Source organism: Homo sapiens, chromosome 1 (assembly GCF_000001405.40).
Source record: "Homo sapiens chromosome 1, GRCh38.p14 Primary Assembly".
In the NCBI taxonomy this organism is placed as follows: domain Eukaryota; kingdom Metazoa; phylum Chordata; class Mammalia; order Primates; family Hominidae; genus Homo; species Homo sapiens.
Window position 1 is genome coordinate 71,395,564 of NC_000001.11, and position 14,902 is coordinate 71,410,465.

A 14,902-nucleotide genomic window follows, 5' to 3' on the forward strand; every position below is an offset into this window, starting at 1 on the left:
TTTCTGGTGGCTAAAAAGTGTTAAATTTTCAAGACTTTTTGGATTTTATTCTTTTTTTTAATGTCACCCAAAGCCCGTAACTAACAATTACAGAAGATCTCAATCTTTATTTTTACTGTGCATATTTAGGGAATGGTAACCTATTCAAATTCAGATTTTATTTTATTATTAAACAATTTCAGCAATTGACTAGAATTCATTTTTAATATCAAAGTCACAGAGAAATGGAAGTTTTATATTTTTCATTGCATTCTGTGATGCAATGGAATATTGTCATATTTTCTTGAGAAAAGAGTATGATATACTATTGTAGAAATTTAATTTTATATGAACAATAATGAAAGTTTTAAAGAAAGAAGAGGAATGACAACTTGGAAAATGTAGGATAACAGCCTTTATTCATATCACTAATTGTAATATGTACTAATTGTAAATGTGGAAACTGAAGCCCCATTCCAGAGAAGACATTGCTTTTTATGATAGATCCAGGCAACAGGAAACACACATGCACACACACACCGACACACACAAAAGAGCCTTTCTTAGGAGAAAATATACATTAATCTCTTTCTTTCCCTTCCTCTTTCTCTTCTTTTACCCTCTGTTTCTTTTCTTCTTCCTTTTCCTTTCTCACTTTCAGTTTAAAGTGAAATCAGCTTCCCAAAGAAAGGATTAGAGAAATGGGTGCCTTTTTCTTCAGTTTGATCATAGTGTCCTAAACATCCAGATTAACTCTACCAGGTAATTCTTTTTAGACAGCTCTTCAGAGGTCACCTAAATCATATTTTATTGTCAAATAAGTGGATGGATTAATGAATGAATGAATGCCACATGAACATTTCAGGTTATCTGAGAAACGTTAAGGTCAACCACTTTTCAGTGTAAATTAAATCTGATTTTTAAAATTTCCAAAATCAACAAATAACAGGTTCTTCTTGAAATGATACTAGCTTGAGAATGTGCCTCAACATAAAAATCAAAACCATTTGATATTGTTTGGCCATGTCCCCACACAAATCTCATTTTGAATTCCCACATATTGTGAGAGGGACTTGGTGGGAGGTAATTGAACCATGGGGGCAGGTCTTTCCCATGCTGTTCTCATGACAGTGAGTAAGTCTCATGAGATCTGATGGTTTTATAAGCGGGAGTTTTCCTTCACAAGTTCTCTTCTCTTCTCTGCTGCCATGTGAGATGTGCCTTTCACCTTCCACCATGATTGTGAGGCCTCCCCAGCCACGTGGAACTGTAAGTCTGATAAACCTCTTTCTTTTGTAAATTGCCCAGCCTCAGGTATGTCTTTATCAGCAGTGTGAAAACTGACTAATATAGTAAATTAGTATCAGGAGTGGAGTGCTGCTGAAAAGATACCTGAAAATGTGGAAGTGACTTTGGAACTGGGTAACAGGCAGGGGTTGGAATAGTTTGGAGGGCTCAGAAGAAGACAGGAAAATGTGGGAAAGTTTGGAACTTCCTAGAGACTTGTTGAATGGTTTTGACCAAAATGCTGATAATGATATGGACAATAAAATCCAGGCTGAGGTGGTCTCAGATGGAAATGAATAACTTGTTGGGAACTGGAGCAAAGGTGACTCTTGTTATGTTTTAGCAAAGAGATGGGTAGCATTTTGCCCTTGCCCTAGAGATGTGTAGAACTTTGAAGTTGAGAGAGGTGATTTAGGATATTTGGAGGAAGAAATTTCTAAGCAGCAAAGCATTCAACAGGTGACTTGGGTGTTGTTAAAGGCATTCAGTGTTCTGTTCTGTTTTGTTTTGTTTTTGAGACAGAGTCTCACTTTGTCACCCAGGCAGGAGTGCAGTGGCATGATCTCAGCTCACTGCAACCTCTGCCTCCTGGGTTCAAGCAATTCTTCTGCTTCAGCCTCCCAAGCAGTTGAGATTACAGGCATGTGCCACCATGCCTCACTAATTTTTATATTTTTAGTAGAGTTGGGGTTTTATCATGTTGGCCAGGTTGGTCTCAAATTCGTGACCTCAGGTGATCTGCCTGTCTCAGACTCCCAAAGTGCTGAGATTACAAGCATGAGCCAGTGCACCTGGCTGGCATTCAGTTTTAAAAGGGAAACAGTATAAAAGTTTGAAAAATTTACAGACTGAAAATGTGATAGAAAAGAAAATCCCATTTCCTGAGGAGAAATTCAAGCTGGCTGCAGAAAATTGCATAAGTAATGAGGAGCTGAATGTCACCAAGACAGTGGGGAATATGTCTCCAGGGCACGTCAGAGACCTTTGCAGCAGCCCCTGCCATCACAGGCCCCTAGGTTTTGGAGGAAAAAAATGGTTTTGTGGGCCTGGCCCAGGGTCCCTCTGCTATGTGCAGTCTAGGAACTTGGTGCTCTGCCTCCCAGTTGCTCCCAGGATGATTTAAATGAAGCCAAGGTACAGCTTGGGCTGTTGCTTCAGACAGTGGAAGCCCCAAGCCTTGGCAGCTTCCACATGGTGTTGAGCCTGTGGGTGCATGGAAGTCAAAAATTGAGGCTTGGAAACCACCACCTAAATTTCAGAGGATGTATAGAAATGCCTGGATGCCCAGAATGAAGTTCTCCTCATGGAGAACCTCTGCTAGGGCAGTGCAGAAGGAAAATGTGGAGTGAGCCCCACACAGAGTCCCTACTGGGACACCACGTAGTGGAGCTGTGAGAAGTGGGCCACTGTCCTCCAGATCCCAGAATCATAAATCCACTAACAGCTTGCACCATGCACCTGGAAAAGGCACAGACACTCAATGCCAGCTGGTGAAAGCAGCCAGGAGGAGGGCTATACCCTGCAAAGCTGCAGAGGCGGAGCTGCCTAAGGCCATGGGAGCCCACCTCTTGCATCAGCATGACCTGGATGTGAGAAATGGAGTCAAAGGAGATCATTTTGGAGCTTTAAGACTTGACCGCCCCTGTAGTCCCTTTGTTCTGGCCAATTTCTTCCACTTGGAATGGCTATGCTTACCCAATGCCTGTACTTCCATTGCATCTAGGAAGTAACTAACTTGCTTTTGATTTTACTGGCTGCTCATAGGCAGAAGAGACTTGCCTTGTCTCAGATGAGACTTTAGACTGTGGACTTTTGAGATAGTGCTGAAATGAGTTAAGACTTTGAGGGACTGTTGGGAAAGCATGATTGGTTTTGAAATGTGAGGACATGAGATTTGGGAGGGACCAGGGGTGGAATGATATGGTTTGGCTGTGTCCCCACCCAAGTCTCATTTGGAATTCCCACGGATTGTGGGAGGGACTTGGTGGGAGGTAATTGAATCATGGGAGCAGGTCTTTCCCATGCTGTTCTTGTGATAGTGAATGGGTCTCATGAGATCTGATGGTTTTATAAGGGGGAGTTTATCTGCACAAGCTCTTTTCTCTTGTCTGCTGCCATATGAGACGTGCCTTTCACCTTCCACTGTGATTGTGAGGCTTCCCCAGCCACATGGAACTGTAGGTCCAAAAAAACCTCTTTCTTTTGCATATTGCCCTGTCTCGGGTATATCTTTATCAGCAGTGTGAAAACTGACTAATATACCACTATACAAGTTCTTACATTACCTGATGAAAGATATCTAATTGTCTATTATAAAACCATAAAAGCTTTGTTAATACATTTTGAAACCTGAATAATGAGAGAGCAGGAATTCTGAACACACATACTAGTTTATCTATAAATTAGAAATATATATGTTTCCAGAAAAAAATTGCTTATTCAAATGTAAAAAAAAAAACCCAGTCTTTCTCCTTGTCAACATTTAAAGTTATTAGACAGTAACACATTTCAAAGCATAATTTAGTTGTTTATCAACAAGAAAAATGTATTACAAGAAATTAATTTATTCCAAATTTTTTTAAAAATCTGCTTTTCTCCATGTCAGTATTTACAGCAGGTGCCATCTTCTGATTAATTAAATCACAAGATGTTCCTTATGCTAACGTCTTAGCAAATAAAACTTAAACAGAAACTGTTGGTTGCACTGTTGTCATTTCTTCTTCTACTTTAAAAAAATTATTCAGAACACCACATGGCCAGCTTGCAAGCTTATTTTCCAGATCACTGATAGCAATGCGATTTTGTATTTGTGTGTGAGTATGTGTTTTGTTTTGAAAAAGACATCAGCTTGAAGCAGTTTCAAATCTCTGGCAATGATTTCTTAAGGAGTATGTCAAAAATGAGCTATTGAACACATTTTTGCCAGGTCACTTGTCAAGTACTTGGTAGGGAGATGTCAAGTTTCAGGGCAACCACAATCCACACTTATGAAACTACTTAGAAAACTATGGAAGAGTTCTGTGGCTCTTACTAGGTATTTTTAGAACAATCAAGAGAATTTTGTTCCTTAGCTTTAGCATATTATAGTCTTCAACGAATATTTTGTAAGTTTTTTTTCTAAGATATGGTCCCCAAATTTTCTTGAGAAATCCCCATGTGCTTGAATACTTGTTTAAGCACAATTCAGAACTGCGGGAGGTCTAAGTCTGCTGTGACTTAGTGTAAAGTTAACTCCTTTTTGAATGTAAAAAGTCAAAATTGATGAAGAAACTGGCAAATTCAAATTTCCACCAAGGAATAGCCCAGTGCTTTTAGCAATCCATTTGAAATGAAGGAGGGAAACCACCCTCTTTAACATTTTAAAGTTTTGAAGGTGTAATGAACCATGCTACCTCCTGTAGTTTCTACCAAACCAAGATGTGTGCTAGGACTGGGCTCATTAGCACTAAGTAGGAGCAGAACACTCAGTTCTGGCTATAGCTTCTTGCAATGTTTTTATCATTATCATAGTATTTGGTTGATGAATTATTGCTATCTCAACTGTTACTTCATTTTTCTTACTGTTTTTGATATAAAATTCCTGTTATACCATGAATTAAATGCCCCTGTGACAAAAAAAAAAAGACTTTTTCTGTTAATTCTTTTTAACAAGTGCCCAAAATATATTATTTTTTCAACAAGGTGGATTCTCGAAGCAAGGTAGTTCTTGTGACTGTTTACTTTCTCTTTCACATGTCCTAGACTATTGGATTATGGTTTGTGAGATAAGGAAGAAAAGGAGTAATTAAAAAACATAGATTATTAGATAGATAGGTTACTTGGGTTTTTTTTTTTTTGGGTCATTAAAGTAGGCATTACATTATCAAAGCTCAAAATGTTAGCAATGAATTTAATTCAATGGCTTTAAAAATTTTACATCTCGTCTGGGAGCGGTGGCTCACGCCTGTAATCCCAGCACTTTAGGAGGCCGAGGGAAGTGGATCACTTGAGGTCAGGAGTTCTAGACCAGACTGGCCAACATGGTGAAACCCCACCTCTACTAAAAATACAAAACTTAGCCAGGTGTGGTGGCACGTGCCTATAATCCCAGCTACTGGGGAGGCTGATGCAGGAGAATCGCTTGAACCCAGGAGGCGGAGGTTGCAGTGAGCCAAGATCACACCACTGCACTCCATCCAGGGCAACCGAGCAAAACTCTGAAAAAGAAAAAAAAATTATGTCTCTTCATTGCAGAGAAGAATTTTTGCTGAAATGAAAAACCACTAATTACTTGGAACACACTTTTACAGGTTACCTGATTCTGATTCTTTTGGAGCCTCTGTATTTTTCATTATATTTGAACTCTTTTTCAAGTTGTAAATAAATAATACTAAGGCAAAATATTTCTCGTCTACAGATATGGAAATAAATTCTGAGGGGTAAAGATTCAATTGAATTCTCCTCCTCACTCTGGAAGCCAGTTTTGCCTCTATTAGTACATTAATTTCAAGGTTTTTGATCTATAAATGTGTATGTTCTTTAAATTATCCTTTTATCTGGTTGTAATGTCTTATCAGGTCCTTCATTAATGAATTAATTTATTCATTTCATAAGTGTATGAAAATCACACTTTTTATGTTTTTCAAACTAAGTGGTGATATCCATAGGATTTGTATTATATTCATATTTTGAAAACAAAGTACAAATGTATTTCTTAGGTTGCATATCATTTAATTTCTAGAATTAGAATCTTTCTCTTGTTCTACTGTCCCAGCACAAACAGATGTTCATGTTAGTATTTCAATATAAATGGCCTCAAACAACATCACTCAGATTAAAATCAGTATTGTGAATTTTTTTAAAAGTGTGTATGTATTCTGATCTCCATTTCCCCCAAAATTCTGTTGATTGCAGATGTCTGAGGAATAGTCTTAGTGGATTATCCCAAACTTGACACATTTTTTGCAAAATGCTATACAAAAAGAAGATACATGCGATTATGACAAGATTCTCCACTTGGTGTGACCAGTCTCATACAACCCAAGGCTGTGTGTCCAAAGGCAACTGTACTGTGAGTTTCACGTTTCCAAAGTTTTAGATGACATGTACAATCTGATTAGCCTTTAAATCTCATACCCTCTGCAGGTATTGGAAAATACAAGGATGTCATAAATATCTATATTTATATTTAAAATGTGCTTATATTTATATAAATATATAAATAAAAATATGCAAATAGTTGTCTATGAAGCTAGCAATGTGATTATATGCTTTTCTTTTTCCTAGGTAGTCTGGGACTGGAAACAAATTGGGAACATTTTTCATTGCATATTTGGCTCAGATCTGCCACTTAGTTGAAGTATAATCTTCAGCAAGTGACTCAAAATTTCTGAATCTCGTTTTCACCATCAATACATGACAATAGTAATATTTTCTCCTTTAAGTATTTGAAAGTGTTGAGAAAGCCACAATAGCAACACTTGCAAAAGTGCTCCATTGTAAAATGCAAAGGAGAGGTAGTTGTGACCCTTTGGGGAAAACTATAGTTGCCACAATTGTCTCTGAAATGAAGCATGTTTCTTAGACTGAAGGAAAGCCCTGGGAGAGATTGGTCTAGCTTTAGGATGACTGTGGGTAGAGCTTCTAGGGAGAAGAATGAAACGTATTCCTCTTTTCCTTTTCTCTAGGAATACCGGAAAGCATGTATTTGTTTGCTAAATTGCTCTCTTTCCACCAGTGATATCAATTCTGAAATACTTTTGAGTAAGTTTGGAATTACTAGAAAAACAGTGAATGTAAATGTGAAGGTGTATGATTCTTGGAAAGTTCAGAGGGAGTACATTGACGGGTGTTTGGATCAAATTCCACTAACTTGAATGAATTACCTTGGAAAATTATCTCTACAAATTCTTACTTACATTTCTGACTGTCAGGTTAAAGTGAATAATTATTTTCTGTATACCAAGATATGATTTTGAAGCATCTATGTTTTGCCCTATTCTTTTGAGAGGGAAACTAGCTCTGTTTCATGTGCTGGTTTTCCATGTCTGATACTTGATGTTTCTGTTTCTGTGATGTAATTTATGCAAGATAGATAAGATAGATGTTGAAAAGGGAAGAAATAATGAAGCTGTGGGGGAAATCAGACATTTATTAGAACATTTCCAGTTTTTTTGTGGAGGGAGGGCTTTGGTGTATATAGATTTCTCAGAATAGCAATGATACTTATATTTCAAAATAGCTTATAAAACCAAGCATGAATCTTTTTTATGCTTTGTTGTTTTATCTATCACATTGTTCTCATTTATTCAGTTGACTATCATAGATGAACAGATATGGGAAAGAGGGCTTAAAAAATTCATTTGGCTTGAGATCTCATTTGTATATTATGGTTTGGTATTTACAAACTAAAGGTTCTCAGCCAAATAACGTGTTTTGCTTGGAAACCAAGGTATTTTTAAGGAAATTGTATCTGAATACCTTCAGGTGCCCGTTGTTTTATACCCAGCTGTTAAGAAATTACACTCTGCCTGGCTCTTACAAGCGTTTGAGTTTTCAGTTGTTTAGCCTGTAAGATCATCAGGATTTTATCAACAGGATATTTAGTCTCTGTTGCTAACTCTGCTGTATTTTACCAGGTAAAGGTTCTAAATAATTAATAATAAAATGTTTCCAGAAAATTTATTTTTAGTTTAGATGTAGTTCAGCTCATCAAACCTTTTAGGAATCAGCAACAGCAAGAAAGAATATAGTGTGGAGTCATTTGAAACTGTAGCATCTAGAATTTTTACCCTGTACTGCTTTAGAGTAAGCAGAAAGATGAGTGTAATACAGGAAATAAAGAGAATAGCAGAAATATCTTCAAATTATTATTTCTTCCTTCTTTCTCTTAAGCTAATAGAGTTTTAAAATGAGTCAAATACATATTTTAATTGATAAACTGAGTTTATATTCACCTATTGGAAACAGTACAACATATTTTACATCAGGTTATGAAATATGGATGTTTTACTAAAAGACAGGAAGAGCTTTTTCCAGTCTTTAAAGTAAATACATATTCAAAGAATCTTAAGGCATACCATTTATTCATATTCATATCTATTGAAATACTGTACATCCACATACTTCAATAAATAGTTAAAAACCTGACCTCTTTTTAAATCATTTCTGGATTTCAAAAAACAATTTTTATTGAAAAGATTAAATAGGTAACTTTTGGCTGTGTCACAAAGCTAAGCACAATGGATAAATTAACAATTGTTCAGTAAATTTGATCATTATAGATGATTGACTTTGATAATTCAGTTTTTCAGAGTTTTCTGACTTCAAATGTAGGGGTATTTATATATATATATATTTTTTTTTTTCCCTGAATTACCTGGGTAATTTTCTCAGTTCTCCAGTCTACTTTCTAGATATAGCTTAAATGTTATGATGAAGCATTAATTTTTCAGTTAAGTTATAAACCCCCCAAAAGTGGCTTTAAGTTTGAAATTCTCCCTCTCAAATCTTTTAGTGTCTCAAAAACACCCACATTACTATAACTTGGGCAGTACTTTTTATTATATAATTGCTGCATAATAGGAACTTAATGGTATAATAGGACTTATGTTTCAAATGCGATCATTGAAAAACGTAGTTACACCACTTGCAGTTAAACTAAGAATGCAAATGTGTAAGTTAACTACCCTAATACTCTGATTCTTCCTTCCCTCTCATCCTTTCTTTCTTCCTACCTTCTCCCCTTCCTCCCTTCCTTCCTTCATTCCTTCCATCCTTCCTTTTTTTCCCTCTTTACTGCCTTTCCTTTTCATTCTTTTTCTTTTCTCTCCATTCTCATTTTTAAACTGCTACTTATTTTTCTTTCTTCCTTCTTTAAAAAAAAATAGGGGCAACAAAAGGAGTCCCACAAGTGGAACTTGTAGAAAATATAATCCTGAAATGAACAGCTAACACAAATTGTTATAGATTAAAAGATAAATCAATTTATAAAACTGCTATTCTGAAATTGCAACAATCTTGTACAGTCAGGACTGATAAAATGGGGTAATCAGACATTTTATATGTCCATAAATGTAAAATCATCTACTTGAACATTATATGCAATACATTCACACAAAAAAGCAAATACTGTAGCCTTATTTGACAATATTGAACTCATAAATACTCATGATTTCACTCTGTCCGAGGGCCTAAGGACTAGGAATGCTGCTGTGATACAGAAAAACATAGTGAATACCTCCTCTATTTAAAAATGTCACTCAAGAAAGTCTCTTCTAACATAAAGGCAAATACATATAGCTACTGAGCTATGACTGTACTTCTGTCACATTCTATGGTAAAAACACCAGACTCCACAAATTTGGAATCATGACAACACTTTGAACTAATTATTTGGTTCATCCATAGTTTATACCTCAATTTACCTACAAACCTTACAAAGAGGAGGTATTTTAACTCTAGGAAAGCGGTCACTGAATAATATGCATTCTTGATCTGTTTCTTTCTCCCAAACAATGGTACTGATGGTTAACATTTTTTGTGGTAGCACCACTATTTCTAGTAAGTAGATTATTATGGAGTGTGCCACTTTAAAGCTGCAATACAAAATAATATTTTATAGTTTATTCAACAATTCCACAAAGAATATTTCTTAAAAGCAAATAAATAATAAAGTTAAATGCCATATTTGTTCTAAAAACTCTTTTTTAATGTATCAATCAAAATAATGTCATACATTTATTACAGTTAGTAGATTTACTAGCTTTATGCCTTATTATTGCCATTTTGTGGAAAGAGTATACTTATGTCCCCTCATTTAAGATTCATTTTTCTAATTAAAATTGATTTATGATGTACTTTGGGACTAAGTTTTACTTGAAGAAAAAAAATCACAGTTTTTAAGCCATCCCTGCTAGGGCAACATACTAGATATCTCAAATATGTATAACCACTGCAAAATTTCTTGTATCTAATTTTATTATAGGGTCTTTGTTGTTACAACTTGTAAAAGGGGACTATTTGTAGAAATTTAGGTGTACTGAAATTGGTAACTTCATCAAACCTGTAAAATGGCTTTCAAGGTGATGGCCTTTCTTTAGTAAAGAGTGAAACCATCAAACTATTCCTGTAAATTAATGTTAGAGTAACAGCATTTTCCTTCAAAAATGTAGTTTTGCTTCTTTATAGTAGAAATAATTTAACATTCACAATAATTTGATAATTACTTATCTTAAGATATTCTCATCACTGGTGTTTTGTCTTTATTTGATCGCATCTTACATATATCATGTAAGGAAAAATAAAGGATGGTCTTTTTTGATTTTACTTGTTTGCACTGAAATGGCTATATAGAAAGATTTTATTGAAGAATTAGCTATTTTAGAGATTGGTCTGCTACATACCGATATAGAATGTTTGTTATAATATATTTTGGAAGTTTTAAAATATATAACATGCATTCCAGACTATCAACTGAGTGATACTTTCAGATGGAAAATATGCAAAATGCTCCTGTCCACAGGAGCACTGCCTCTGTCATACTAACTTAGCTGCCACAAAATAAAATTAATGATGAGCGCTTACCAACTCTTGTAATATTAGGTGATAGGACTTTGTGCCCTTTCTGACAAATCATCTTAAAATTTTTGGCTTGGACTAGTGAAAGGAAAAGATGCTGTATTGCTAGGCAATCCTTTGAGTGGACTGTGCTGTCATTTTAAAGGGAATGATTTCCCACGGTGGATCTAACATTTAGCTACAACTAAAGAAATCATATGGTATATTTACTATACTGTTATTAAATTGTCTCTCATCACAAGAACTGAGTTAGTGTGGGGCAAAATTCTCAAACCCCATTGTCAGTGCAGGAAGAGATTTTTACAGTCCAATAGCTCCTTCGTTACTTAGAGATAGTGTATGGTTTAACTTGATCACTCTGGTTTATTTTTACTTTCAAATTGTAAGATTTAGCAAAACATTTTATATTAGTTGGAGACAAAGAGAAAAATATTATTGTATGAAGGCACACCCATGCTGAACTTACAGGAAAGAGAAGCAGAGCTGCACAGCCAGTTATATTACAAGGCTCATTCCTGAAACCTGAATATCATGCGAGCAGAAAAATCTAGATATGTGTTATATTTTGAAGAAATAATCTGAAGGCAATATTATTTGCTTTTTTATCAAAAAAGAAAAAAATGCATCTTTGTAAATGTGGATTGACTCTTATTGAAACAGGGAACTGAATGCTTGTATTGCAGCCTTAAAGAATCACATATTCACTGCAATATTCGTTTTTGTAAACTACAGCCTGCAACCTAGCAGACCATGACTGAATGCTTTTGAAAAGTTGTAGATTACAAACATGAAATCACAATTAATATCCTCTAAAAGTAATTTCAGAGCTTTCACGTCTTAAAAAAAGGACAATGTGTACTGCTTCACAAGGTAATGTAGCTAATCAAAAAAGAGTAGAATTAAAGTATTTACATAATGAGCAATTCTACAGAAGGCGATCATCCCCATGTAAGCACTGCTGATTATATCCCACGCTGCTTTTAACAAACTGTACCAGATTGGATCCAGCCATCAGCACTTTCAGAGAATCCTTAAAAGCCTTTTATGGGTCTTTGAATTTATTGTAGAATGGCATTCTTCAGGTAGAATATGCTGGTGAAAGAGGACAGTGTCAACACAAGGTACCAGCAGGAGAAAAGAACATCAGCGCTCCCGGTAATTCCATACTGGGCTGTACTTGGAGCTGGAAAGAAATGGAAAAGATTAAATCAAAATCTAATTTGTGTCTTCCAGGATCTTGACAATAATCAAAAGGTAGCCAGGTGCATCGGGGAAAGCACTGACATTGGAGTCAGACAGACTGAAGTTCATATCTGATTCTGCTATATGACAACGTGTGGGCTATGTGGCTAACTTCTCAGAGCTTCAGTTTTCTCAAGGGCAAAATGAAAATAATAGAAATAATAGAATCCACCTCACAGGGCTGTGGTGAGAATTGGAGATGAAGCACATACAGCATATTACATCAACTAAACACATGCTAAGTACTCAACAGCTACTAACATTATTATTCCTCTTATATGTACTGTAAATATTTGTATTAATGGACAAATAGTCATTCATGTGTATATATAGCTGTGTTTTATTAGCTAAATACTGTACTAAATGCTAGGAAAACAAGAATATTGTCCCTTCCAAGGCCTTTTTTTGGTGAGAAAAGATCTTCAAACAATTATAATACAGAATATTAGAGTTGCATGTGCATACCCAGTAACACAGACAAATTGTGCTTTTAAATTGCCTGGGTAAGGGAGATTTCAAATACAGTTTTACTAAAGGAGACTATCATGTGGGTAGAAGAAATAACATATTCGAAGGCATAATAAAAGGACAGAGCAAGGTGTGTCGTATAGAATATAAAGGTAGATTTAGTCTTGCTGGACCATGAAGTTTGAGGCCCGAAGTGGAGGGAATTGAAACTAGACCTCTAGACAGGTAGAATGACCTCTACTGTAATGAAAAAGGGACTAGGTTTTTATATTGAAAGACATTTTGAAGAATTTGGAGAGTTGAATGTATGACTACATTTATACATCAGAAATATTACAGTCTTATATATGGGGAAGTTCACATGGTACTTGGCTAACAGTCATGTTGAATTTTCACTGAATACCTGAAAATTCACCAAGTTTGGGATATTATTGGAGTGTTTGGAATGGGTTTCACTTTGTTTATGAACAGACAGTTGCCTAGTTGTAGTGAATTATATTGTGTTCCAGAAATTAAATGTTACAGCCGTGCTTGGACTTGTTTGAGACTGATTCTCATTTACCATAATAATAATAATAATTGTAATAACAAAAAACCTGCCAATATATTTTAACCACCTTTTCTTAATGAAACCTGGATTTCAAGCACTATTTCCTAGTAGAAATTGAATAATGTAGTAAAGAAATCGACTACTTCATTTCTAAATTTATAACTCAAATCCAGGAGCAGGTTTAGTCACACTGAGTCTGAATTGCCAGCAGATAGTTTTAATGAAATGTTCACAAATGACTATATTGCTACGTAACAAGAATAATAAATTCTGCTGTTTACACTTCCAAGAAATTAAAGGGGATGAAAGATACATTGGTCCCTGCAGTGGGAAGTTTCCTTGACAATGCAATTATTGATTCCAGGTGAGTGGGATTTGAACACTGAGACTACTATTTTTTAATAAACAAAGAGCAAAATTAACTATTTAATGCATGTGTATAATTACAAATGAGTTTTTTAAAAAATAAAAAGACAAAGAAAGTAAGTCTATTGTTGAACAGAGAGCTTTTCAATTTCTGATGTATATGAAGTCTAATTTAAAGCTATGGAACTCCTCATTGTCCCCTTTTCTAGACCTAGAAAAATATTTTAAAAATACAAATTAATCTTTATTTAATATATGACCTTCTCAATAGTAGTTATGCTAGAGTTGTTTTTCAAGAATGTCAAGTGTAATAAAACTTGTATAATGGTAAAGGACCAAAAATATGTAAAGCATATAAATGGTTTCATAAATAAGAAATAAAATTTAAAAGCTAAGCATAAAAAGCAAAGGTAAATTATTTTTGTTATGAGAAATTAAGTAGTAACATTAAATGGGTAGATTATCAAGTCCCCTCAAAACTCCTTATCCATCCTTGAAAATGCGTTTTTGGGCAATCTTTCCTGGACCTCCTCTCATTCTCCAACAAACTGAGCTGACCACCTCTTTTGTGTCATGATACCATGAAATATATATTATATGTTATGTAACTATCACACTGCATTGCAAATATTTGTTTACATATTCATTTCTTCCAACAGATTTAAACTCTTCTAGGTCATTTCTTATTCATCTTTGTGTTTCCAGACATAAAATCTGGCAAAGTGTGGTATATAGTAGATGCTCAAGAAATGTCTAAGTAAATGATTCAATCAAATGAATGGGTCATAATCAAAATGAGTATTTCTGTCCTACAAAATGGAATCTTTTCTGAAGGAAGCCACGTGATTATAGGCTAGAAAATGTACTATAGTAGTATAGTACATTCATTCATTCAGCAAGTTTTAATTGAACTAGGTACCAAGCACTCTCCTAAGTGCTGGGAATGCAGCACTTAATAAGATATGTATGATCCTTTTATTACTTAATTCTGCCTTCCCCAGTGTAGCTGTATCTTCTTCCACTCAGCCTCCTATTGTCTTAAACTTAACAAAGATATTACCAATAGCGTATTTTAAATTTATTACTTTACAATTAAAATAGCATACGTCTTTTCACTGATGCCACAAATTTATATACTTTTTTGTTGCTTGTGAATATAATATTTATATTAGTCCTGAAATAAACTAGAAACTGGGGGATGAATCGTTAGCTTGCAATTGTTACAGGCAGTAGACTGTGGAGTAATCGTGAATAATCAGTACACCAAAACACAAAGAGCAAAGTTAGTCACCATAATGTGAGATCAGATACCTAATGTCAAGTTACATGTCACCAGTCGTACTCTTTAAATATCTACTGAATATCTATTATGTTCGTGGGGTTGAATTAAGCCTCACATAGGCAAAGATGAATAAAACCAATCCTTTCTTTCAGGAAGAGCTTATTCTAGTT

The 14,902-nt window shown here is 35.0% G+C and overlaps 1 protein-coding gene across 1 annotated transcript in view; it reads right to left on the reverse strand.

The window, feature by feature from the left end:
- Positions 1–379: 379 nt before the first annotated feature.
- NEGR1 (neuronal growth regulator 1) overlaps positions 380–14,902 on the reverse strand; it is an 886,597-nt gene continuing 872,074 nt past the window's right edge. Inside the window, exon 7 of the mRNA NM_173808.3 lies at positions 380–12,007. Coding sequence (NP_776169.2) covers positions 11,883–12,007 — 125 coding nt within the window. The 3' untranslated portion in view covers positions 380–11,882. The remainder of the gene's footprint in view (positions 12,008–14,902) is intronic.